Source organism: Homo sapiens, chromosome 22, assembly GCF_000001405.40.
Source record: "Homo sapiens chromosome 22, GRCh38.p14 Primary Assembly".
NCBI classification, from domain to species: Eukaryota; Metazoa; Chordata; class Mammalia; order Primates; family Hominidae; genus Homo; species Homo sapiens.
Window position 1 is genome coordinate 42,433,452 of NC_000022.11, and position 25,266 is coordinate 42,458,717.

Sequence of the window (25,266 nt, forward strand, 5' to 3'; positions counted from 1 at the left end):
CTGTGGGGCGGGCATTTGAACTGCCAGTGGTATGATGTCCGAGCCTTCTCCCACCCTGCTACTGCCTGCTCAGGTGTGTCCAGCTGCAGCCCCCGGTGACGGCATCATGAGATCCATTTCAGTTCTTTGCACACATGCTTTTCCCTGGGCTGCTCCAAACATGAACAGTGAAAGCCTAAAGACGTTTCCACCAATGCCACGAGCACTGGGAGGCTGGCAAGAGCAGGGGCCGCCCACCAGGGGAGGAAGACATATGAACAGGAGAAGTTTCCTACCGCGCAGGGGGCAGGCGGGGACCCCAGTGTTATTGACTGTTGATCCATCACAGTGATACATGCTCACATATGTCACAGTGAGATGCAGACCCGCTGCTTCACGCTATTCCTGGCTCCTGGGAGTAGCAGGTTGTCTAAGCACCTTGATGCCATGGTGATAGACCTCGTGTCAATGCCTCAGGGTACACGGGGAGCATTGGAAAAGCATCGGTCTGTGCCTCTACAAGTCTCATTACGACTTGGCACTGGGAGGCAGCTGAATGCCAAACTGCCTCGGAACAAGGGAGCCTGCTCTTCCAGCCCTGGTGCCGCCTCCGCTCCTGCCCCTGTGCCAGCTCACTGACCCTACCTCTCAGCCTGTCACGGTGCCCCCCACACCCCAACTCTGTACCTCGGACTCCCGGGAGTTCTGCCGCCTCTGAGTCTGGGTCTAGCCTGCTGCACACCTGGTTTCCACGCTTGCCTGCCTGAGCTGCCTGTCTTCCTCCCCTCTCCTTCTTGAGCCTGGCCCAGGGGGTGCAGGAATGGACGGATGGGTGAGCATAAGGCAGGGAGAAGCCTTCCTCCAGGCTTGATATGAAGGCAGGTGCCCAACACCACGCTGGTGCACAAGAGGCCTCAAGGGAAGGGGTAGCCTCTGGGAGGCAGGGTGGGAGGAGGCGTGCATACTCCCCAGGCAGGCCCTGGGCTGTGGAGCGCAGACATGACTGGACAAGAAGCAGCTGAGGGTCCCAGCTCATTGCCCAGTTTCTGAGACGCTCTGCAGCCACGCAGCCTCCTGGGGAGAGGCAGGGACGCACCTTGGCAAGGAGCCCAGCAGCCCTGGCTGCGCTGTCGGGGCCTCGTGTCTGGCCCTGATCCTCCTCGGGAGCCAGGGGGATAGAAATAAAACCGCAGCGCATCCAGGAGCCTCATTTCTACCAAAACTTTCTAGCACCTCTCATGTGCTTCCTCTCCTGTGCCCTCAGCCAGAGCTGTGAATAAACAGTAAAGGCCCCAAAGGCTGAAGGCGGAGCAGAGGAATGAGGAGGCTCTGTGGGTGTCCCAGGGGCAGCTTCAGTGGCACAGCCTTCGAGCTAGGCCTTGGCAGCTGAATTTGCAGGTGAGGTCCCTGGGGACCACACGTCTCAGCCACTGGCTTTTGCCCAGACCTCCGTCCATTCCCCGTTTATCCGTGCATCTATGCCTCACAGTATACTGAACACCTGCCCTGCCCTGGGCCCTGGCCTCACGGAGGCTGTAGAAGTGAAAGAGCCTAGCCTCCCTGGGAAGCCTAGGGGCACGGCAACCTCAGCAGAGTGAAGCAATAATAGAGCAGTTCCGGGAAGCTTCCAAGCGCCTGACACTGCTCCAGGGGACCTGCTCTCCTTGCCAGTTTAATCCTCACTGCAGCCCTATGGGGCAGGCACTCTAATCACCTCCATTGTACAGATGAGGAAACTGAGGAACAGGGAGGTTAAAGTAATTTCTGAGTGGCAGCCCTGAAGGAGGTGGAAGCTGGGTGGGGAAATGGGGGAGCCCAGGTGTCCCCTGCAGTCCCCAGGGGCCTCCTCGACACCAAGACTAAGGCTTTCCAAATGAGACCACAATTACTGGCCTCTGTTTTCTTTTTCTTTTCTTTCTTTTTTTTTTTTTTTTGAGACAGAATTTTTCTCTTGTTGCCCAGGCTGGAGTGCAATGGCGCGATCTCGGCTCACCGTAAACTCTGCCTCCCGGGTTCAAGTGATTCTCCTGCCTCAGCCTCCCGAGTAGCTGGGATTACAGGCATGTGCCACCACGCCCGGCTAATTTTGTATTTTTAGTAGAGATGGCATTTCTTCATGTTGGTCAGGCTGGTCTCGAACTCCCAACCTCAGGTGATCCGCCCACCTCAGCCTCCCAAAGTGCTGCGATTATAGGTGTGAGCCACTTTGCCCAGCTGGTCTCTGTTTTCAGTTTAGTTCCACAAACACTTATTATGTGCCTACTGCGTGCCAGGCATTGGGCAGACAAAACATAAGTCATGGTTTTGCCCTCAAGGCGCTCCCTGTCCAGGGAGAAAAACAGATCCCCTACCCACGACCACCTCCAAGATTTCCTTTTCTTCTTCTTTTTTTTTTTTTTTTTTTTTGAGACAGGCTCAAAAAAGACTCCACTAGGCTGGAGTGCAGTGGCATGATCTCAGCTCACTGAAATCTCTGCCTTGCGGGTTCAAGTGATTCTCCCGCCTCAGCCTTCCGAGTAGTTGGGATTACAGGCGCCTGCCACCACACCTGGCTAATTTTTGTATTTTTAGTAGAGATAGGGTTTTACCATGTTGGCCAGGCTGGTCTCGAACTCCTGACCTCAGGTGATCTGCCCGCCTTGGCCTCCCGAAGTGCTGGGACTACAGGCGTGAGCCACCGCACCCGGCCTCAATCCAGGATTTTCAAATGCCCCAGCCAGCAAGTGGCAGCTGAGAGGCCTCCAGCCGGGACACAGTGAGGTCCTGAGCTCTTCATGGTTCCTTTCTGCACAGGAAGCAGAAGTGCCGTGGGAAGGAGATCCCTCTGCTCCCCGCTGCGGCTGCGAAAATCACTTCCTTCCTCCCCAAAGACTCCAGCACCAAGAGGAGCTGAGCCGACCAGCAGGAGGGACCCCTCAGAATGACCCTCTGAGCTGGCTTCACTGAGGCAAAAAGGGTTCCAGGGTACTCAGGGGCCGATCCACCCTCTCTCTCAAACACCCTCACTATCAAAAAGGGCAGCCTCCATCCTAGGAGCAGCCGGGTTTACCTCTGGGGCCGTCTTGTGCCTCGCAGTGGCCCTGCAGCTGGGTGGTGCTGACCCCACCAGAGGCAGGCAGACCCACCTGGAGGCCATCTGCCCGCAGGCTGCCCGGGCTGGAAGCCTGGCCTGGCTTGTCTCCAGAATCCCCTCTCAGTTCCAGCTGCTTGTATTTTTGGCTCTTAAGCATTTGTTTGATGCCAGACACAGTTCTAAAGGCTTTTCTTGTACTTCAGCCCTCATAGAAACCTTGTATGGGAGGTGTTATGACTGCTCCTGCTTCGCAGATGAGGAAACTGGAGTTCAGAGAACACAAGCCACTTGCCCAAGGCCACACAGCGAAGACGCAGTGGAACAAGGGCTCCAGCTCCCGGGACCTGGCTTTAACCACTGCGCTCTCCTGCAATTCACCTGGTCCTTTAATCAGGGCAGATATTATACGCCTCAGCTGACATATTTAGTGAGGGAGAAAAACAGTGACTCACCTGCTTGAGGTCACAGAGGGGACCCGGGCTTTTCTACTGGACACATACCATGGTCCCCCTGCTATGCTCAGTTTCTGGGAGGCAGCAAGGAGCTAGTGCCAACTCCCCAACCCCGCCACACCAAAAGGAATCTTCAAGATCTGGAAGAAACAAAAAACAAAGGTGGCATGATTTTTTCTTTTTGTCTTTTTTTTTTTTTTTTTCTGAGATGGAGTCTCGCTCCGTCACCCAGGCTGGAGTGCAGTGGTGCGATCTTGGCTCACTGCAACCTCCTCCTCCCAGGTTCAAGTGATTCTCCTGTCTCAGCCTCCCAAGCAGCTGGGATTAAAGGCACCCACCACCACACCCGGCTATGTTTGTATTTTTTAGTAGAGACGGGGTTTTACCATGTTGGCCAGGCTGGTCTCGAACTCCTGGCCTCAAGTGATCTGCCCGCCTCGGTCTCCCAAAGTGCTGGGATTACAGGTGTGACCTACCATACCCGGCCACAATTTTCAACATTTATTCCACGTCCACCATGTGCCAAGGTTCTGGGAGGCTCGGGCCCTTGACACAACCATGTCCCTGAAAGAGACGAGCACAGAACCAGGAGGCCCTCAGACAACAGACGCCAGAGCCACCAAGTCCCCCACTAACGGTGCCACCCACTTCCCCTCCTGGCCACGCAGGACGGCCCCAGGGTTGGCCTGTGCTGATGGTGCCACCTGGTGGTAGACATGGGAACGCCCTCACCTGAGATTTCCTCTCCGTGACCCTTCTTCCCCCTCTAGGGGTCCTGGGCTGCCCTGAGGCCACCGCCTAGCAAGATCAAGATAGGGCTTGAGCGGCAGTGGGATAGGGCAGTGGGGGTTCCGGGGGGGTCCGGTGCAGGCAGAACCAAGAGTGTGCCGGCGGAGGGCTGTCGGTACAGGGTGCAGGGCGTGGCGGCTGCAGGACCTCAGCTTGCCTCTTTAAATCCCTTCCTGGGCACCGCGGTGGCCCGGCCCTTTCCCCTCGTGCTGTTTCTGCTGGAAACGCCGCACAGTCTCCTCGGGGGCAGCCGCCAGCGGAAACGGTTATTGGCCGCCAGGCAAGCCAGTCCCATCCTTCCCAGCAACTGGGACTTTCCGGGCAGGGCTCCCCAGCGCGGGTTCAGCTAATTAAGGAAGCAATTAGCCTCCCCTGAGGCTATTCATGCTTCCTCACCCACAGTTCTCAGGTTCTGTGAGACCAGAGCCTCAGTCTCCCGTGAGCAGAGGGTGTGTGTGTGGCTGCCACTATTCTGCAGACACGCTGGCTCCACCCCAGAGAGTTGCAGGGCCAGGAAATCTGCATTTAAACAGACCCTGGCTCTCACACTTCGGAAACTGCCCGAAGCACCTCTCAAATATGGGACAGGTTTGATACTCCCTCCCCCTCTCCGTTCCCCCGCTTCTCCCTTCTTCGCCCTCCTTCCCACTTCCTCCCTCCTCCCCGCCCCTTCTGCCCCCCACCTGCCCTCCCTCCCTCCCTTCCATCCTTCCTCCTCCTCCCGGCAACCTTTCTCCCTTCCCCACTCCCTCCCCTCTCCCTCCTCCTTGTAGGGACAGCGCCGCGTCCTGGGAAGGGCAGGGGCTCTGGCGTGAGCTCAGTTTGCATCCCAGCCTTGTCTCCTCAGGCGTTGAAGTGGGGGGCAGTTTCTGCATCCACAAAATGGGGATGAAATACCCACTTTGTCAGGGTTTAGTGAAGAACAATGGAAGTAAACGAAGTGAGAGCACTCTGCAAACAGTGAGATGTTGATAGAAAAGTAGTTTTAGGCCAGGCGAGGTGGCTCACGCCTGTAATCCCAGCACTTTGGGAGGCTGTGGCGGGTGGATCACCTGAGGTCAGGAGTTTGAGACCAGCCTGACCAACATGGAGAAACACCGTCTCCACTAAAAATACAAAATTAGCCGGGCATGGTGGCGCACGCCTGTAATCCTAGCTACTCGGGAGGCTGAGGCAGGAGAATCGCTTGAACCCGGGAGGTGGAGGTTGCAGTGAGCCGAGATTGCGCCATTGCACTCCAGACTGGGCAGCAAGAGCAAAACTCTGTCTCACAAAAAAAAAAAAAAAAAAAAAGAAGCTTCCAGGAGTAGACAGGAGGGCTCGCAGGAGGGACTGGGGTGTTCCTTCCAGGCTGAGAGGCTGAGGCTGGAGAGAGACGCAGGGGAAGTGGAATGAGAAGGCCTCCCTCCTCCCCTAGGCCTCCTCTGATGAAAACTACCTTCTCTCTCCAGCATCCACAGTCAGATGCATAAAACCATTTATTTTTTCTGTTCAGAAATTACTGGTATTGCAACTAGTATTGATTTTTACTGTTTTCATTTCACATGTACAGATTTTCAGCTGCATTCAGAGTTCAGCAGCTTTCGGGCGGTTCCTGGAAGCCCGACGTCATTTATAATCCGGTTTCTGAGTGGGAACGGCTTTCTCTGGGAGACAGCTCCTTGGGAAGTTAGAGACTTCCTGCACTTATTGGACTCGAACATCCATTCTGTACAAAATGCCCCGCAACACTGAGGAGATGCTGTTTTGTTTTTGTTTGTTTGTTTGTTTTTTCGAGACGGAGTTTTACTCCTGTTGCCCAGACTGGAGTGCAATGGTGCGATCTTGGCTCACTGCAACCTCCGCCTCCCGGGTTCAAGTGATTCTCCTGCCTCAGCCTTCTGAGTAGCTGGGACTACAGGCAAGATGCTGTTTTAGGACCAGAAATCTCCCAGGGGTGTGCAGATCAACAGTAATCCCAGTCTGCCCTCCATCGTCGGAATAGAATCAGAGGGAGGGAAAATCCGCCTTTGGATCTCTGGACCATGATCTTTCCAGCAGGTCACAGGTGACCAAAGGCTTCACTTGCAGAAGCCCCCTCCCCAGGAAACTCCCCTGGGGCAAAACGAAAGTGTTTTGGGCGTTTTTGTCTGCCTGGCAGGGAGCCTGTGCCTGAGTCACTGTTTCTCTTGAGCTTCCCTTTTCTTTTCTTTCCTCCCGGTGTCTGCTGATTTTGTGTCAAACAAGGAGCATGGGGCCAGGCCATCTCTGAGCTGCCCGTGGGACGGGGACTTGGGCACTTGCCAGGAGCGGCTGGCCTAGGAGTGGGCGGGAGGCCCTTGGTCACCCACCCCAGGGCCTGGCTTCAGGTGGCCACAGCTTTCTGACCCCCTTCTGGGCACTGGGCCACCAGCTGCTGGGCATGGCCAGTGAGTGAGGGTGAGGGCAAGATGAGGAAGAGGTGGCGTAAGGTGGGAAAGGATTACTTGCCAGACGCTTGGCTGAGTCTGTTCTCTAAGCCATGCTGCGAGGCAGGTGCTATTGTGTCTGCATTTTGCGGATGAGGAAACTGTGGCTCAGAGAAGGGAAGTCACTGTTTTAAGGTGAAGTGGCCAGTGGAGGTGGGGCTAGGGTTCGAATCCTAGGATCAGGCACACTGCCTGGGGATAACCTCTAGAGGTGTCTGTGCTTCCCAGCTAGACCGGAGCTCGCTGCAGCCCCTCACTTTTTCCCCGGTCCTGCTTCAGGCCCCACTTCCTCTCTGCAGGTGCTTAGGCCGAAAATCAGGAATCTCTTGAATGAATGCATGAAGGTGGAGCCCTTTCCCTTAATGCGCAGGTGAAAAGGGCACCTCGGTGGATTCTACTAAATTTAATAGAAGGTAAGTAGGACCTGGGTCACACCGGCTTGTGGAAAGTGGAGGTCAGAATCTGAGAGGCTGCGTTTGGCACTAGGTGGGAAGGAGCTGGCTAGGGGGCAGAGGAAAGAGGGCAGGTGGCTTCGGATCCGGGGTCTCTCTTTCGTTCAACTCCGTGGGTGTTAAGGGAGCCCCATGGCGGCCTGGGCAAGCGCTGAGAGCACCTGGAAAGAGAACACCCCGCTGGACCCTCCTCTCCCCTCACTTCCAGTTGCACAGGCGAGGCCCAGCCACCTGGACGCAGGCCCAGAAGCCCAGGAGGCGGGCTAGGGGAAGGAGGGGTTTCCTGGGTCACCAGCCCCTCCCCACCGGGTCCCTGGTTCGCAGGAGGCCTCGAGGCTCGGTCCCCTGCCCGCCCCCTCTACTCTGTTTCCCCACTGCCCACAGCCTGGCCTGGTAAACAGCCCTTTCCCTGGGAATTTCTCCCCAGCATCTCCGGCAGGTGTGGATGGGGGTTTGTGGCCACCCAGCCTCCCCTTCTCCAGGCCAAGACATCCCTGGTCCTGTTTGTCCTCCCAACATGGCTTCCAGACCCTTCTCCGTGGGGGACCCCAGCCTGCATTTCCGGTTCAGATAGGGTCTGACCAGGATGGAGGTTGGAACTGTGGTCCCCTCACCATGGACACATGGCTCCTGGGAGACCCCTGGCTCCTTTCGGGTCCCCCATTTCCTTCCAGCTGGGGTCAGGGCCAGCCAGCTGCAGGATACCCTCTGCTGTGCCCCTTCTGGGCCCCAGGAGGCCCTTCCTTCCTCTTGGGATGAGGGCGCCGTCCCTACATGCTTGTCTTGTGGGTGCCTGGTGATGCTGAACCACCTGGGCCTCCCTCATGGCGAGGCCCTTCCTTCCTCGCAGGGACCCATTCGGGGTGGCCCTTAGGAAGGGAGCTGTTTTGGAAGACCCCTTGACTGCCCTTCTCCTCTGTCTCATCCTCATTCCAGGACCTTGCTCAGTGGCTGAGATTGTATACTCGTCATTTTGATTTAGAAAAAGACATGATCAGGTTCTGGGATCTATTCTCCCTAAGGATGTCTGGCCAGGGTAATAGCCCTGCACTGAGCAGAAGGCATGGAGACCACAGGGTGGGCCACAGAGCAGGAAAGATCGAGGGAAGGGGCAAAGAATGGCAGAGGTGAAGGAATCCAGAGTACTCCAGGTGCTGCACACACACCAGACCTCACAGCCCCCTGTGGAGCTCAGATTATTCCCTTATTTTTCTTTTTTTTTTTTTTTTTGAGATGGAGTTTCCCTCTTGTTGCCCAGGCTGGAGTGCAAAAGTGCAATCTCCGCTCACCACAACCTCTGCCTCCCAGGTTCAAGCTATTCTCCTGCCTCAGCCTCCCGAGTAGCTGGGATTACAGGCATGTGCCACCACGCCCAGCTAATTTCGTATTTTTAGTAGAGACAGGGTTTCTCCATGTTAGTCAGGCAGGTTATCCCCATTTTATAGGGAAAGAACTTGAGTCTGCAAGAAGCAAGTCACCCAGGATTCTCAGGGCGAGGAGGAGGCTGAACCAGGATTTGGACCCAGATATCTCTGGCTCTCAAGCCTCCTCTTTTCTATAAACCACCTGTTTACAGCACAGAGGGAGCTGGTCATTGGGGCCGAGCTGGGTTTATGGTATCTGAAGCTTACACAATTTCAAGAGGACTCTCATTTAAAAAAAAAAACAAACACAATTACAAAACCAAAATTAGGCATAACAGTGAATTTTATTTATTTATTTATTTTATTTTTAATTTTTTTTTTTGAGGCGGAGTCTCGCTCTGTCACCCGGGCTGGAATGCAGTGGCGCCATCTCGGCTCACTGCAAGCTCCGCCTCCTGGGTTCAGGCCATTCTCCTGCCTCAGCCTCCCGAGTAACTGGGATTACAGGTGCCCACACCATGCCCGGCTAACTTTTGTATTTTTAGTAGAGACAGGGTTTCACCACATTGGCCAGACTGGTCTCGAACTCCTGACCTCAGGTGATCTGCCTGCCTCGGCTTCCCAAAGGGCTGGTATCACAGGCTTGAGCCACCACACCTGGCTTCCCTATGTTTTTCTATATCCTGATCGCTTCCTTGTACAACAAGGATTTTGCAATGCCATATTCTATAGAGAAAACAAACTTCAATCAAATTTCTTTGATATGGTAGCAGGAAGAGTTCAGGGCATGGCTGTGTCAAGTTTTCTCATGTGGGACCTGACCTTACATGCTCCTTGGATGGGCCACACTGGTGACCACGCGAGGCTTTGATGCTCTCATCACAGGGACCTGTTCTGAGTTTTATGTTGTCTTTGTTGGTTTCAACATTTTATGCCAAATCAGCAAGAAATTTAAATCTTTTTTCATCATGATCATTGTATTCATTCTCCTTCATTCATTGGTGAGCCTGTTCCTGGAAGCCATCTGTACCCTCGGACAGCCAGCAACGACTGAGCTACACATGGATAGAACCATGAACCACAAGAAATACCCCTGAATTCTGAACTATTTCCATATCAACTTCTCCCAAAATACCCACAGCCAGTCCAACACCATCCAACTGGATGGGAGCAGGGAAGGCGGGGAATCAGAGTGGAAAGAGACTTAGCTGAGTTATTTTTATTATTTTTAAAAGCCTTATTCATAGACATATGTGTATATTTAGAGACAGAGTCTATCACTACGTTGCCCAGGTTTGATTCTTTTTTTAGAGACAGGTCTGGAGTACAGTGGTGCAATCTTTGCTCATCACAGCCTTGAACTCCAGGGCTCAAGCCATCCTCCCACCTCAGCCTCCTGAGTAGCTGGGACTACAAGCATGTGCTGTGCCACCAAGCTGGCTTGGTGTGACTAACTGATGTCTCACCTTTGCAAACTTTACAGAAACATATGACATAGGAACACATTGCAATTACATATTGCAATTCAGCAGAAAAAAAAAAAAGAAAGACTTTCTTTTTACTGAATGGCACTGACTTACCAGGTACATACAAGCAAGTGGAGTCTGGGGACCACTTTTTGGCTGTTCTAGAGAAAGTGCCCCAAAGAGGATTCAGCAGCCAGACTCCTGTTAGTTTTCTCATCTCACTCAGAAGGCTCAGCCTCTGAAACAACCATTCCAGGACTTGGAGGCAGGGGATCTGGGTTAAAGGCCCAGCTCTGCCGTTTCCTAACTGTGGGGCCTTGGCAAGTGCAGGTCCTGTGAGCTTCACCAGCCTCATTAGCAAGAATAGTTCATGTTCCCCTGCCACGGAAGTGCCCTGTGAACTAGAAGAGAGCATGGGCAAGTATGGGGTTAGTCTCGCTAACAGATCAGCCAGCTTCTGTCTGGGCAATTCTGTCATTTAGGGTTTTGCTGGGGTGGCCCCGGGAGTCGTTTGGGAGTTCACCTATCTCCCCAGGCATGGAGAAGGGGTGGTGTTTCTGAATCAGGATTCTGAGCTGAACTGCAAACCTGACTGTGCTCCAAGTTTCTTGGACCAGCAAGCCCAGCTCCCAGAGTCCCGCTGCCCTGGCCTGAACCCGCCGCTCCACACCCCGGGCTCTCGGCAGCCGGGCGGCTCGTGGGAGGAGGCGCCATGAGCCTTCTTGCATTTCCTGCTTCAGACTTGATGGATTACAGAGGACTCCTGCTCCAGCTGTGGGGAACTCCAGCCCGCACTTTGCCTCCAGCCCGATGGTGCAAGATCCAGCTTCTCTTCAGCCTGGCATCAAACGTCTTTTTGATCAGCTTTTCATCCATTTTCTGAAAATGTAGTGATTGAGAGATGTTCTGAATCTTGCAGAATTCTGTGTCGCACCCTGGCCACACATCAATGCAGGCCTGAACCTGACCCTGGGTGGACTCCCTGCTCTCTGCCAGCCCCTTTCTCACCCCTGGGTCCCCACGGCCCCTGGCTCTCTCCCCTCTGCTAGAATCTCGCTGAGGGATTGGTGGGGAGGGGGTGGTCACGCACTGGGTGGAGATCTGGTGCCCCCTGGAGGCCGGACAGGAAGGGCCAGGGCGGACAAGGTCTTTGAGAACTCGGTGGCATCCCGCTCCTGATGGCCTGGGTCCCACCGCCCCTCCCCCAGCCTTCCTGACAGCAGAGGAGATTGATGGGGCGCTGCTCGAATGTTCTTCATCAGCGTCTTCAGTAATAAGCTTCTCCATTGGGTAACCGATCCTAGTTTAGCAAAACCGTTTGTCAACCATTTCCTCCCTTGAGCTTGATAAGAACCCCGTGGGAGAGGAGAGAGGGGGGCCCCCCAGGATCTGAAAAGCTGTGCCTCAGCCAAGTTCATGAGTCACTGGCGAGGAGGCCTGTAGGTCAGCAAAGCCTAGGAGGTCAAGAGTGCCCACATGGGGACCTACGGGCCTCAGGGCCGCAGGTTGCTGGGTTGGACCCTGGCTTGGAGCTCAGGATAGAAACCCGGAAACCCCACAGGCAAAGAAGGATGCAGAACAGAACAGGGCAGAACCAAGGACCCAGTGAGGGTGGCTGGCGTCAGAGCAAATATCAGAGTTCACAAGGTGAAATAATCCAAAAATCTATACAGAAAAAGCTAATCATTTTCTCCAATCTCTCCCCCAAAGGTGTCTACTCCTGCAGGCTTACCTGTAACCTTTGTCACTCACTCTTCTGATTCTGCAAACATATAAACCACGGAGCCACAGCCAAGAGAATCTGGACTTGTTCGTTTTTCCTGAAATAGGATATCTTAAATAATCCGTGGCTCAGCACTGCGCCCTTTTTTTTCTTTTCTTTTCTTTTTTTTTTTTTTTTTGAGACGGAGTCTCGCTCTGTTGCCCAGGCTGGAGTGCAATGTCATGATCTTGGCTCACTGCAACCTCTGCCTCCTGGGTTCAAGCAACTCTCCTGCCTCAGCCTCCTGAGGAGCTGGGACTGCAGGTGCAAGACACCACGCCTGGCTAATTTTTGTTATTTTTAGTAGAGACAGTGTTTCACTATGTTGGCCAGGCTGGTCTCGAACTCCTGACCTCAAATGATCTGCCTGCCTCGGCCTCCCAAAGTGCTGGGATTACAGGCACAAGCCACAGCACCCAGCCTCACTGTGCCCTTTTCACTGGCAGGCATTTTATTGTCCCTACAGACCCAAGACGGGGTGGGGGAGACGTGCTTTGTGCTCACCTGGCTGGTTCATGGGCAGGTGGCCTGGAGGACCCAGCCCTGGCAGCTGTGGGGTAGCTCCAGCCTGGGCCGGACAGGTAAGCGGAATCAAGAGATGGGGCCAGTTGCGGCTACAGGGCCAGGAGGGGCTGCAGCTCCTGGTCAGGGTCTTCAGAAAAGCAGGGTTCTGCTGGCTGGCCTGCAGTGGAAAGAAGACAGAGGGACAGGGAACTGGGGGTAGGGACAACCCTGCTCAACTAAGTGACCTTGAGAGGACAGGAGTCCCCACAGGAAAATCAGGAGACTGTTCCTCTGGCTGGGGTGGGCTGTGGGGAGGATGCTGGGCCAGCAGAGCCTGACAGAGCCACCCCAGTCATAAAAGGATATGTTTTTGTCAAGACTTTTCTAAACCCATAATCACCTCCCTCCTATGTCTTGGGTCAGCTTCTTTCATCGCAGGCACCACTGCGGACATTGCTGGGAGGAAGAGGAGGGAGAAGCGACGGGCTTCATTAGGAACGGTGAGTTTGTGACTCTGCCGCTAAGTGGCAGCTCCAGCTCACCCCCCCAGCTCCCTCCCACAGGCCACGGCTGGGCATGGAGAACTGGTGACTTCAGAGGCCCGGACAGAGGAGACGGGGGAGAGCGAGGGGCCGCCGTGCCTGAGGTCTGGGGGTGACAGCAGGGGATGGCCAAGGAGTGCAGGGCCAGCTTGCCCTGCCCTCTCTAAGAGAGTCTTACTGAATGTAGGGGTTGAATTGTGCTCCCCAAGAGATATGTTCATGTATTAACCTCTCCCTCCCCCCGACTCTTCCATTCCTGTGACTGTGAGCTGAATTTGGAAACAGGGTCTTTTCAGATGTAATCAGGTCCTTTCAACTCACGATAAAATAATCTTGGATTTAGGCTGGGCCCTATGTCCAACAGCTGGTGTCCTTATAAGAAGGAGAGGAGACGGCTAGGCGCGGTGGCTCACGCCTGTAATCCCAGCACTCTGGGAGGCTGAGGTGGGCAGATCATGAGGTCAGGAGATCGAGACCATCCTGGCTAACACGGTGAAAACCCGTCTCTACTAAAAATACAAAAAAATTAGCCCGGCATGGTGGCAGGCGCCTGTAGTCCCAGCTAGTCGGGAGGCTGAGGCAGGAAAATGATGTGAACCTGGGAGGCGGAGCTTGCAGTGAGCTGAGATCGTGCCACTACACTCCAGCCTGGGTGACAGAGCGAGACTCTGTCTCAAAAAAAAAAGAAAAAAAAAAAAAAAAGAAGAAGAAGAAGAAGCAGAGGAGACACAGAGGAAAGAGGGCCATAGGAAGATGGAGGCAGAGATGGCAGTGGTGAGGCTACAAGCCAAGGGATGCCTGTGGCCACTGGACGCCGGAAGAAGAGAGGGAGGATTCTTCCCTAGAACCTTCAGAGGGAGCACAGCCCTGCCAACACCTTGGTGTTGGACTTCTCGCCTCCAGAACTGGGAGGAAATCAATTTCTGTTGCCTTAAGCCACCCAGTTTATGTTATTTTGTTACAGCAGCCTGGGAAAAGGAATATACTGAATAAGAACCCAAGTGAGCTTATTAGAAAGAATATTGAGGCCTGGCGCAGTGGCTCACATCTGTAATCTCAGCACTTTGGGAGGCTGAGGCGGGTGGATTGTCTCAGTCCAGGAGTTCGAGACCAGCCTGGGCAACAAAAATACAAAAATTGGCCGGGTGTGGTGATGCACACCTGTAATCCCAGCTACTCGGGAGGCTGAGGCAAGAGAATCCCTTGAACCTGGGAGGTGGAGGTGGCAGTGAGCCGAGATCATGCCATTGCACTCCAGCCTGGGCGACAGAGCAAGACTCTGTCTCAAAAAAAAAGAATGTTGAACCTCCTCAAGAGGAGGTAAGTGATTTTAAACACTCTGAAGCCACACAGGGACAAGCCTTTTACAAGCCAAGAGGAGAAGGAGGAAAAATTGAAGTCACTTTTTTTTTTTTGAGACATAGTCTCACTCTTGTCGCACAGGCTGGCGTGCACTGGCGCAATCTCGGCTCACTGCAGCCACCACCTCTGAGGTTCAAGCGATTCTCCTGCCTCAGCCTCCTGAGTAGCTGGGATTACAGGCGCCCACGACGGCACCCAGCTAATTTTTGTATTTTTAGTAGAGATGGGGTTTCACCGTCTTGGCCAGGCTGGTCTCGAACTCCTGACCTCAGGTGATCCACCTGCCTCAGCCTCCCAAAGTGCTGGTATTACAGGCATAAGCCACTGTGCCCGGCCTTGATTTTTCTTTTTTAATGGTTAAAAAATACCTTCAAATGTACACACAGTAAAATTCACTTCTTTTGGTATATAGTTCAAATGCATAGAGTCCTATCACCATGACCGCAGTCAAGATAGGGAACATCCCGTCACTCCCAGAACTCCTGTGCTGCCGCTGGCAACCACTGCTCTGTTCTCCCGTTGCTTTTCCAGCAACGGGAGTCCTGAAAGTGGAATCGTGCGAGTCCAGGTTCTTTCGCTGAGCATCGTGATTTGAGGTTCACCCACATTGTTGTATGGTTCCTTTTCATTGCTGAGAAGTGTTCCACTGTCTGGATGGACTGTGGTCTATTTATCTATTCACCAAGTAAAGGATGTGGGCGATTTCCAGGTTTCGACGATTATGAATAAGCTGCTGTAACATTCACGCACAGGTGTTTGTATGAATGGAAGTTTTCACTTCTCTTGGGTGAATACCTGGGAGTGGGGTTTCTGGGTCCCGATCGGGTTTCTAGTGGTCTGTAAGTCAGACTTGCTAAGAGTTTTCGTTGGGGAGACGCACACAGGCAAGGTCAGCTCTCAGGGTCCTTTCTGCAATGCGGGGATGTCGAGGTCACCTGACAGAGGGGCAAATGCCAGCTGGTCGCCCAACCTGCTCTTGTCCATTCCTTTTCCCTCAGAAGCTAATAGAGGAAAGTAAACCTGTTGTTTCACTCTCATTTCCTTTTATTTTCATTAATATTAGGAAATGCCAAGATTAGTGAAAGAATGAAAAGAGTCAAAACAGCCTAGAAAAGGCTTCAATGATCCTCAAACTGGATGATCGAATCCCGAATAATTGGGAATCAACAGTAAAGGCCAAAGTAAGACTTCTAAAAAGTCCTCTTTTTTTTTTTTTTGAAGAGATGGGGTCTCACTACGTTGCCCAGGCTAGTCTCAAACTTCCAGGCTCGCCCAGTCCTCCTACCTTGGCCTCCTAAAGTGCTGAGATTACAGGTGTGAGCCACTCAACCCAGCCCAAAATCCCTATTATATCCTATTTTTTTGCTTTGCATGAAACATTTTATTTACTTCCATCCCACCCTGAACATAACAGCAGAGGGAATTTCTTTCTTTCTTTTTTTTTTTTTTTTTTTTGAGATGGAGTCTTGCTCTGTCACCCAGGCTGGAGTGCAGTGGCGCGATCTTGGCTCACTGCAAGCTCCACCTCCTGGGTTCACACCATTCTCCTGCCTCAGCCTCCCGAGTAGCTGGGACTACAGGCATGCGCCACCATGCCTGGCTAATTTTTTTGTATTTTTAGTAGAGACGGGGTTTCACCATGTTAGCCAGGATGGTCTTGATCTCCTGACCTCCGTGATTCGCCCGCCTTGGCCTCCCAACATGCTGGGATTACAGGTGTGAGCCACCGCGCCCAGCCCAGCAGAGGGAATTTCTAAAGGCAAAGACTGTTCCTGAATTAGGCGAAGGCATGGCAGCTTCACCTCTTACTGCCTGGGGTCAGGCAATTCTCTGCAGAGCAATTCTCAAGGAGGTGTCTTAGCTTGACTTGCCCCAGAATTGCTGCTGGGGAGTCCCAGCTGCCCCATCTAATTACCCTGAGCCCTTCTACCTAAATGCAGCCCTGGCCCAGCTCAGGCTGAGAAGTCCCAGGATCTGCAGTCACCAAGCAGAAGAAAACCAGAAGAGCCAACAGTGTCATTGCAGGCTAAGTCCAAGTTCAAAGAGAGGAGAAGACCAGTGTCCCAGCTCAGCTCACAGTCAGGCAGACAGAGCGAATTCTATCTCACCGTTTTTTTTTTTTTTTGAGATGGAGTCTCACTCTGTCACCCAGGCTGGAGTGCAGTGGTACAATCTCACTGCAACCTCCACCTCCCAGGTTCAAGCAATTCTCCCTGCCTCAACCTCCTGAGTAGCTGGGATTACAGGCGCACGCCACCACGCCCAGCTAATTTTTGTATTTTTAGTAGAGACGGGGTTTCACCATGTTGGCCAGGCTGGTCTTGAACTCCTGACCTCAGGTGATCCACCTGCCTTAGCCTCCCAAAGTGCTGGGATTACAGGAGTGAGCCACCGCACCCGGCATTATTTTTTTTTTTTTTTTGAGACAGGCTCTTGCCCTGTTGTCCAGGCTAGGGTGCAGCGGTGTGAACGTGGCTCACTGTAGCCTCGATTTCCTGGGCTCAAATGATCCTCTTGCCTCAGCCTTCTGAGTAGCGGGGACTACAAGTGTGCCACACCTGGCTAATTTTTTAAAAATTTTTTTGTAGAGATGAGGTCTCGCCACGTTGCCCAGGCTGGTCTCGAACTTCTGGGTTTAAGCGATCCTCCTGCCTCCTGCGTAGTCGGGACTACTGGCATGCGTCACCACACTCGGCTTACTCTGTCTTTTGTTCTCTTCAGGCTTTCGATGGATTGGACGAGGCGCGTCCACCCTGGGGAGGGCCATCATTTTATTCAGTCTACTGATGCAAATGCTTATCTCTTCTGGAAACACCTTCACAGACAGACCCAGAATATAGTTGAACCAAATACTGGGCACCTCATGGCTCCAACAGGTTGACACAAAAAATGAACCATTGCAGAAAACGAAGAACAGTCACCAACTCCCACCCATGCAGCTGGCTCATTTGCTGGGCTGCCCTCCCCAGCAGGTGGCACAGGAATCCCTGCCTTGGCAGGGAGGAGGCCTGGGGTGTGTGCAGGTACCCATGGGAAGTTTCTTTGCCATGGGGAAAGCCAGAGTCACCCCTTGCTTGAACACAAGAGTTGGAGGTTTCAGTGAGCTGAGATTACGCTATTGCACTCCAGCCTGGGCGGCAGAGTGAGACTCTGTCTCTAGATAAATAAATTAAATAAATAAATAAATATAATTTAATATAAATAACTAGAAATTTTTCAATACTTGCATCTCTGTAGGTTACCTCTGGAAGTGCAGGGCTTTGTCTTTTTGGATTAACTCAGAAATTAGACCTTCAGAAAACAACATCAGCTCTGATTCTCTGCACCCTTGATGCTGCCGGTGGCGACTGCGGCTTCCTGATGGAAATGTAGACCTGAACATAAGTCGCAGAAAAATGCAGACTTGAGTTGGAGCTAAGCTGACTCAGGTATTTTGAGATCTATAATCTGAGTGGGGAGCAGAGAGATTCCAAGATATTTGCATTCAGTGGCTTTTGCACACAGCAGAACCTGTGCTGAGGGCATTTCTAGGGTCATTACTCATAATCTGCAGTGTCTCTTTCCAGGGTTCCAGGCGTCTTACCCCAGAGGTGATTTCCAGATTTCGAGAAAAACCCAGGATTTAGGGCTGGCACGGTGGCTCACGCCTGTAATCCCAGCATTTTGGGAGGCCGAGGCAGGTGGATCACTTGAGGTCAGGAGTTTGAGACCAGCCTGGCCAACATGATGAAACCCTGTCTCTACTAAAAATACAAAAAAATTAGCCGGGTGTGGTGGCATGCACCTGTAATCCCAGCTACTCAGGAGGCTGAGGCAGGAGAATCACTTGAACCTGGGAGGCAGAGGTTGCAGTGAGCCTAGATCGTGCCATTGCACTCCAGCCTGGGCAACAAGAGCAAAACTCCATCTCAAAAAAACAAACAAACAAACAAACAAAACGCAAGATTTAGATCCCCTCACTGTAGCGCCCTCATGGCCTGGTAACTTTAGCAAAGCCTCCCCCTCCTCCCCCTCCTCCTCCTCCTCCTCCTCCTCCCTCCTCCCTCTTCTAGGTACAGAGGATGAGCAGTGGCTCCCCACACCATCCCCTGAAGCAGAGGCCCCTCTTCCCTTCATTCCCCATTCTGTACAGATGCTATGGGAGCTTCAGGCTCCACACTCAGGTCCCCAGTCCCTGAAACATAAAGCTGAATAAGACAGAGTCCCTGGGCTGAAGGGGCCACTGTTGGCCATGGAAGCAGAGTAAACAGAGTGGGGCCGACGTAAAGGTGAGCTGGGGTGCACTGGAGGCACAAAACGGGCAAGGATGGAGACGTGGGTGACGAGGTAGGGCAGACAGGCAGAGCTCAGACTGGGTCCTAGGCAGGGAGAAGTCACCATTGTAGAGCAAGGACGATGTGGTCAGATCTGGGCTTTAGAAATCTAGGTGTCTAGCCTAGGCAATATAATGAGACCTCGTCTCCACAAAAAACTTAAAAAATTAGCCGAGTGTGATGCCACATGTCTGTAGCCGCAGCTACTCAGAAAGCTGAGGATCCCAAGTGGAAGGATAACTCTAGCTCGGGAGGTCGAGGCTGCAGTGAGCCATGATCGTGCCATTGCACTCCAGCCTGGGCAACAGAGCGAGACCCTGTCTCAAGAAAAAAAAAAAAAAAGTAAAAGAAAAAGAAAGAAGAAATACAGCTCTGGAGCTGCCTAGGACAGGGTTGGGGACTCTCCTGACTAGCTGCCAGCGAATGTTTGCTTTCTGTGGCCAGGCCCTGCCTGGCCAGGGTGCACAGGGCTGAGCGAGGCAGATGGAGCCCCTGCTCTCAGACTGCTTTTCCGAATGCCATCTTGACGCTGCTCAAGTTTGGATTTTGGTTTTCATGGAAGTCAACTATGGTTCTGACATGGCCACCTCTGTCTCAACTGATGCACGGCCTAGGGAATCCGGTGATGCTTCAGCAGGTGGCAGGGCTCAGCTGCACCCGCCCGGGCCCCAGCGCCGCCTGCCACTCCTCCTCCTCCTCCCAGGCTTCGGCTGAGAGCAGGGCCTGGAGCCAGCCTGCTGGGTGGACTCCCAGCTCCACAGTTGGCTAGCTCTGGGGCCCTGGGGAGATGTCCACCCTCTCTGTGCTTTAATTTCTTCACCTGTGAGGTGGGGATGGTAGCACCTCCCTCATGGGGTGGCTATGGCTGTGAAATGAGGTAACGTCTCGGTGTTAGGCAGCTTCCAAAACGGCTCTCCAAGATCCCCTGCCTCCTGGCCTTCATAGCCTTGTGGAACCCCTGGCCCTGTGTGTGGGCTGGACTCACTGCCTGCTTCCACCCAAGAGAACAGGGCACAGCTGATGGGGGTTACTTCTGAGACTAGGTGATCAAGACTGGGGCTTGCTGGGTCCCTCTGTCTCTGACTCTTTCCTCTGCTCTCTCCTGCTCACTTGCTCACCCTAATACTATATCAAGAGCTGCCCTAGAAAGAGGCCCCGTGGCAAAGAACCAAAGGCACCCAGCAACACGAGTGAGGGTGGAAGTGGCTCTTTCCCCATTCCAGCCTCGCGGTGACCGCAGCCCTGGCTGACACCTTGCTTGCAGCCTGGTGAGAGACAGCAGCCCGAGGACCCTGCTAAGCTGCACCCAGGCTCCTGACCCATGGAAACTGTGAGATGATAAACATGTACTGCTTAAGCTGAGATTCGGGCTAATTTGTTACACAGTCATAGACATCGTTTTTTGTTGTTGTTGTTTTTTGAGATGGAGTCTCACTCTGTCGCCCAGGCTGGAGTGCAGTGGCACAATCTCAGCTCACTGCAACATCCACCTCCCAGGTTCAAGCGATTCTCGTGCCTCAGCCTCCCAAGTAGCTGGGATTACAGGCATCTGCCACCATGCCCGGCTAATTTTTTTGTATCTTTAGGAGAGACAGGGTTTCACCATGTTGGCCAGCTGGTCTCAAACTCCTGAGCTCAAGAGATCTGCCCACCTTGGCCTCCCAAAGTGCTGGGATTACAGGCATGAGCCACTGTGCCCGGCCTGTTACACAGTCATAGACATCTATAAAATACTCAACACGGTGCCGGCGCATGGCAAGCATCAGTTACTGACCACGGTGACCCTTCTGTGTACACCAGGGGAACTCAAAATACTCAGGAAATCTAAGCATATAAGCCTAGTCACCAGGCTGTCGACATGACCCTTAACAATGAACCTGTGTCTTTTGCCACCTCATGATGTCATAGAAGAAGAGCAGCATCAATGTTAAGAGTCTGGAGGAGGGACTAGATGCTGTGGCTCACACCTGTAATCCCAGCACTTTGGGAGGCCGAGGCAGGTGGATCACCTGAGGTCAGGAGTTCGAGACCAGCCTGGCCAACATGGTGAAACTTTGTGTTTACTAAAAAATACAAAAAATTAGCCAGGCATAGTGGCATGCACCTGTAATCCCAGCTACTCTGGAGGCTGAGGCAGGAGAATCTCTTGAACCTAAAATCTAAAAAATAAGACCACGCCAAGGAAAAAAATCAGTAACAGTATAGAGGGGATGGAAGCAGACCTCTTTAATACACCTTGTTCTTCAGTTTTGACTTTGCCATCATGTAAATGCTTTATTTAGTTCTAAATCAAATTTAAATTGAAAAAAAAAAATTCCCAGGCCAGGGCGGCGGCTCATGCCTGCGATCCCAGCACTTTGGGAGGCTGAGGTGGGCAGGTCAACTAAGCCCAAGAATTTGAGACCAGCCTGGGCAATATGACAAAACCCCATCTCTACAAAAAATACAAAATTAGCCAGATGTGGTGGTGCAGGTGCTTGGAGGCTGCTTGGGAGGCTGAGGTGGGAGGATGACCTGGGCCTGAGAGGTGGAGTTTGCAGTGAGTCGAGATTGCACCACTGCACTCCAGCCTGGGTGACAGAGTGAGGCCCTGTCTCAAAAAAGAAAAAAAAAAAAGTATTTCCTAGTTGATTTTTGTTCAACTTCAATTAATCATAATCTACCTTCTTTTTTTTGTTTTTGAGACAAGAGTCTCGCTCTGTTGCCCAGGATGGAGTGCAATGGTGTGAACTGCAACCTCTGTCTCCTGGGTTCAAGCAATTCACCTGCCTCAGCCTCTTGAGTAGTTGGGATTACAGGTGTCCACCACCACACCTGGCTAAATTTTGTACTTTTAGTAGAGATGGAGTTTCACCATGTTGGTCAGGCTGGTCTCAAACTCCTGACCTCATGATCCACCCACTTCGGGCTCCCAAAATGCTGGGATTACAGGCGTGAGCCACCGTGCCCTGCCAATCACAATCTACCTTTAAGTGATAATATGCTACCTTTTTTTTTTTTTTTTTAGACAGTCTCGCTCTGTCCCTCAGGCTGGAGTGCAGTGGCGCAATCTTGGCTCACTGCAAGCTCTGCCTCCCGGGTTCACGCCATTCTCCTGTCTCAGTCTCCCAAGTAGCTGGGACTACAGGTGCCTGCCACCATGCCCGGCTAATTTTTTGTATTTTTAGTAGAGACAGGGTTTCACCGTGTTCGCCAGGATGGTCTCTATCTCCTGACCTTGTGATCCGCCTGCCTCAGCCTCCCAAAGTGCTGGAATTACAGGCATGAGCCACCATGCCCAGCCAATATACTACTTAATATAAAGCATAAGAACATTGGCCAGGTGCGGTGGCTTATGCCTGTAATCCCAGCACTTTGGGAGGCTGAGGAGGGTAGATTGCTTGAGCCCACAAGTTTGAGACCAGTGACACCCCATCTCTACAAAAAAATGTAAAAAATTAGCTGGGTATGGTAGTACATGCCTGTAGTCTCAGCTACTTGGGATCGCTTGAGCCCAGGAAGTCAAGGCTGCAGTGAGCCATGATTGTGCCACTGCACTCCAACCTGGGCAACAGAGCAAGACCCTATCCCCACTCCCCACCCTCCCAAAAAAAAGAACCTAAAAGTAGTGTATTTCTGATTCTCCACATACACACTCCATCTATTTAAGAAACTACAATAAATACAATGAGTTCAGGCTGGATGCGGTGGCTCATGACTGTAATCCCAGCACCTTGGGAGGCAGAGGTTGGTGGATCGCTCCACTGTACTCCAGCCTGGGTGACAGAGCGAGACTCTGTCTCAAAATAAATAAATGAATAATAAAATAAAAAGTAAATGGTCTAGGCCTGGCCAACATGGTGAAACCCTATCTCTACAAAAAATACAATATTTAGCCGGGTGTGGTGGTGTGCACCTGTAGTCCCAGCTACTGCGGAGGCTGAGGCAGGAGGATCACTTGAGCCCAGGAAGTGAAGGCTGCAGTGAGCCACAATTGCGCACCACTACACTCCAGCCTGGGTGACAGAGTGAGACCCTTTCTAAAAAAAAAAAAAAAAGGAAAGAAAAGAAAATGTCCAAATTTAAAGGCAGAGATTGTCAGATTGGATTAAAAAAAGATTCAGTATCCTATTTATAAGAAACACACTTCAAATATAAAGACACAAATAGGTTAAAAGTAGAAGGATGGAAAAAGACATACCTACCATGCTATCACAAATCCAAAAAAAGCTAGCGTGGCTTATCAATATCAGACCAAGTAGATTGTATAGCAGAAGACATTACCAGGGATAAAGAGGTTAATTCAATAATGATTAAGGGGTCAGTTATTCCAGAGGACATAACAATTCTAAACGTTTATGTACCTAATAACAGAGCTTCAAAACACTTGAAGCAAAAACTTATAGAACAGCAAAGAGAAATGGAAAAGTTGACAATCATAGTTGAAGATGTCAATACCCTGCTTTCAATAATTGATAGAATTGATAGAATAGCTGGGTATAGCCGTGTATCACCTGTAGTCCCAGCTACTCAGGAGGCTGTGGCAGGAGAAGCACTTTAGCCCAGGACTTGAGTCTAGTCTGGACAACATAGTGAGATCCCACCTCTGAATAAATACATAGAAATTGATAGAATGAATAGACAGAAAACCAGCAAATATATAGAAGATTTGAACAACATTATCAACCAACTCGATCCAATGGACATTTATAAAACACTTTACCCAACAACAGCAGAATACACATTCCTCTCAAGTTCACACAGAATATTTACCAACATAGACAATATTCTGAGACATTAAACAAGTCTCAGTACATTTAAAGGGACTCAAGTCATTCAAAGTATGCTCTCTTACAATGGAATTAAATTAGAAATTGGTAACAGAAAGAGCTCTGAAAATGCCCAAATAACTTGAAAACGAAATAACACACTTCTAAATAATCCACGGGTCAAAAAAGAAGTCAAAAGAGAAGTCAGAAAGTATTTTGAACTGACTGAAAAGGAAAACCCAACATATCAAGTTGTGTGGTATTATTAGCTGTACGTTTCTTTGTAGATGCTATTTATCAGGTTGAAGAAGTTCTCTATTCTCAGTTTGCTGGGAATTTTTTTTTTTGTTTTTTGTTTTTTGAAACTGATTCTGGCTCTGTCACTCAGGCTGGAGTGCAGTGGCGTGATCTCGGCTCACTGCAAGCTCTGCCTCCTGGGTTCACACCATTCTCCTGCCTCAGCCTCCCGAATAGCTGGGACTACAGGCGCCCGCCACCACGCCCGGCTAATTTTTTGTATTTTTAGTAGAGACGGGGTTTCACTGTGTTAGCCAGGATTGTCTCGATTTCCTGACCTCGTGATCTGCCCGCCTCGGCCTCCCAAAGTGCTGGGATTACAGGCATGAGCCACCACGCCCGGCCATTTTTTTTTTTTTTAATTATGAATGGGTGTTGGATTTTTGTCAAAAGCTTTTCTTGCATCAATTGATATGATCCTATGATTTTCTTCTTTATCCTGTTGGTATGCTAAATTGCATTAATTTTTTTGTGTTTTTGTTTTATGAGACTGAGTCTCACTCTGTAGTCCAAGCTGAAGTGCAGTGGCATGCAGTGGTCAGCTCACTGCGACCTCCGCCTCCGGGGCTCGGGCTTAAGCTATTCTCGTGCCTCAGCCTCCCGAGAAGCTGGGACTACAGGCGCATGTCACATGCCACCATGCCCAGCTAATTGTTTGTATTTTAGTAGAGATGGGGTTTCACCATGTTGCCCAGAGTGGTCTCGAACTCCTGATCTCAGGCCATCCACCTGCCTCGGCCTCCCAAAATGCTGAGATTACAGGTGTGAGCCACTGTGCCCTGCCTAATTAATTTTTGAATATTGAGTCAGCTTTGCACACTGCCAATGCAATCAAGATGTAGTTATTCTTAGGCTGGGCATGGTGGCTCACACCTGTAATCCCAGGACTTTGGGAGGCCGAGGAAGGTGGATCACTGGAGGTCAGGAGTTCAAAACCAGCCTGGCCAACATGGTGAAACCCCGTCTCTACTAAAAATACAAAAAACTAATCAGGCATTGTGGCGTGTGTCTGCTACTCAGGAGGCTGAGGCAGAAGAATGGCTTGAACCCGGGAGGCGGGAGGTTGCAGTGAGCCAAGATCACGCCACTGCACTCCAGCCTGGGCAACAGAGCAAGACTCTGTCTCAAAAAAAAAAAAGTAGTAGTTATTCTTTCTCTACCCCCTCTCCCTTCCCACTGACTGAGGCAGGCAATGATGATGAAGCCTTAGGCAGAGGAGATGGAAGGTGATGTGCTCCGGAATCACTGTATGGGGGAAAACCCCCTCATCAACCACAAACACTCACACTGGTCAGTCATGTGAGTGAGAAACACATGTCTTTTGGGTTAAGACGTTAATATTTGGGGATTTATATTAGGGGATTTATTTATTACAACAGCTAGCGTTTCCTTGCTGTTAACCTCAAAAATCATCAGTGTATCTCGAAAGACACATTCTTCTTCTTCTTCTCTTTTTAATTGAGATGGAGTCTCGCTCTGTTGCCCAAGCTGGAGTGCAGTGATGCAATCTTGGCTCACTGCAACCTCTGCTGGCCAGGTTCAAGCAATTCTCCTGCCTCAGCGTCCAGAGTAGCTGGTATTACAGGTGCCCATCACCACGCCCAGCTAATTTTTGTATTTTTAGTAGAGACAGAGGTTCGCCATGTTGGCCAGGCTGGTCTCGAACTCCTGACCTCAGGTGATCCACCTGCCTTGGCCTCCCAAAGTGCTGGGATG

The 25,266-nt window shown here is 51.6% G+C and overlaps 1 protein-coding gene and 1 long non-coding RNA gene across 2 annotated transcripts in view, besides 9 other annotated features; one reads left to right on the forward strand and one right to left on the reverse strand.

The window, feature by feature from the left end:
* Window positions 1-4,535, reverse strand: part of NFAM1 (NFAT activating protein with ITAM motif 1) — a 57,580-nt gene extending 53,045 nt beyond the window's left edge. The window contains exons 1-3 of the mRNA NM_001371362.1: window positions 4,237-4,535; window positions 3,891-4,068; window positions 3,505-3,644 (exon numbers count right to left, since the gene is read on the reverse strand). The gene's annotated coding sequence lies outside the window, so the exon portion shown is untranslated. The remainder of the gene's footprint in view (window positions 1-3,504; window positions 3,645-3,890; window positions 4,069-4,236) is intronic.
* Window positions 3,911-4,010: an enhancer, noted in NCBI's record as "active region_19163". NCBI's record gives its function as "activates an Ori minimal core promoter by ATAC-STARR-seq in GM12878 lymphoblastoid cells {active_cell/tissue: GM12878}" and the evidence as "EXISTENCE:reporter gene assay evidence [ECO:0000049][PMID:35858748]".
* LOC101927344 (uncharacterized) lies at window positions 4,716-17,394 on the forward strand. Its single transcript, NR_188414.1, has 6 exons — window positions 4,716-4,881; window positions 7,040-7,153; window positions 12,251-12,365; window positions 12,712-12,788; window positions 15,256-15,373; window positions 16,914-17,394. It is a non-coding gene; the product is annotated as an uncharacterized LOC101927344 (long non-coding RNA).
* Window positions 4,751-4,800: an enhancer, noted in NCBI's record as "active region_19164". NCBI's record gives its function as "activates an Ori minimal core promoter by ATAC-STARR-seq in GM12878 lymphoblastoid cells {active_cell/tissue: GM12878}" and the evidence as "EXISTENCE:reporter gene assay evidence [ECO:0000049][PMID:35858748]".
* Window positions 4,751-5,265: a biological region, named in NCBI's record as "H3K4me1 hESC enhancer GRCh37_chr22:42834221-42834722".
* Window positions 4,764-5,265: an enhancer, noted in NCBI's record as "H3K4me1 hESC enhancer chr22:42834221-42834722 (GRCh37/hg19 assembly coordinates)". NCBI's record gives its function as "activates a minimal SCP1, AML or CMV promoter by ChIP-STARR-seq in primed H9 embryonic stem cells {active_cell/tissue: H9 hESC(primed)}" and the evidence as "EXISTENCE:reporter gene assay evidence [ECO:0000049][PMID:30033119]".
* Window positions 7,143-8,142: an enhancer, noted in NCBI's record as "H3K27ac-H3K4me1 hESC enhancer chr22:42836600-42837599 (GRCh37/hg19 assembly coordinates)". NCBI's record gives its function as "activates a minimal SCP1, AML or CMV promoter by ChIP-STARR-seq in primed H9 embryonic stem cells {active_cell/tissue: H9 hESC(primed)}" and the evidence as "EXISTENCE:reporter gene assay evidence [ECO:0000049][PMID:30033119]".
* Window positions 7,186-7,265: an enhancer, noted in NCBI's record as "active region_19165". NCBI's record gives its function as "activates an Ori minimal core promoter by ATAC-STARR-seq in GM12878 lymphoblastoid cells {active_cell/tissue: GM12878}" and the evidence as "EXISTENCE:reporter gene assay evidence [ECO:0000049][PMID:35858748]".
* Window positions 10,729-10,908: an enhancer, noted in NCBI's record as "active region_19166". NCBI's record gives its function as "activates an Ori minimal core promoter by ATAC-STARR-seq in GM12878 lymphoblastoid cells {active_cell/tissue: GM12878}" and the evidence as "EXISTENCE:reporter gene assay evidence [ECO:0000049][PMID:35858748]".
* Window positions 10,916-11,682: an enhancer, noted in NCBI's record as "H3K4me1 hESC enhancer chr22:42840373-42841139 (GRCh37/hg19 assembly coordinates)". NCBI's record gives its function as "activates a minimal SCP1, AML or CMV promoter by ChIP-STARR-seq in naive H9 embryonic stem cells {active_cell/tissue: H9 hESC(naive)}" and the evidence as "EXISTENCE:reporter gene assay evidence [ECO:0000049][PMID:30033119]".
* Window positions 24,696-24,855: an enhancer, noted in NCBI's record as "active region_19167". NCBI's record gives its function as "activates an Ori minimal core promoter by ATAC-STARR-seq in GM12878 lymphoblastoid cells {active_cell/tissue: GM12878}" and the evidence as "EXISTENCE:reporter gene assay evidence [ECO:0000049][PMID:35858748]".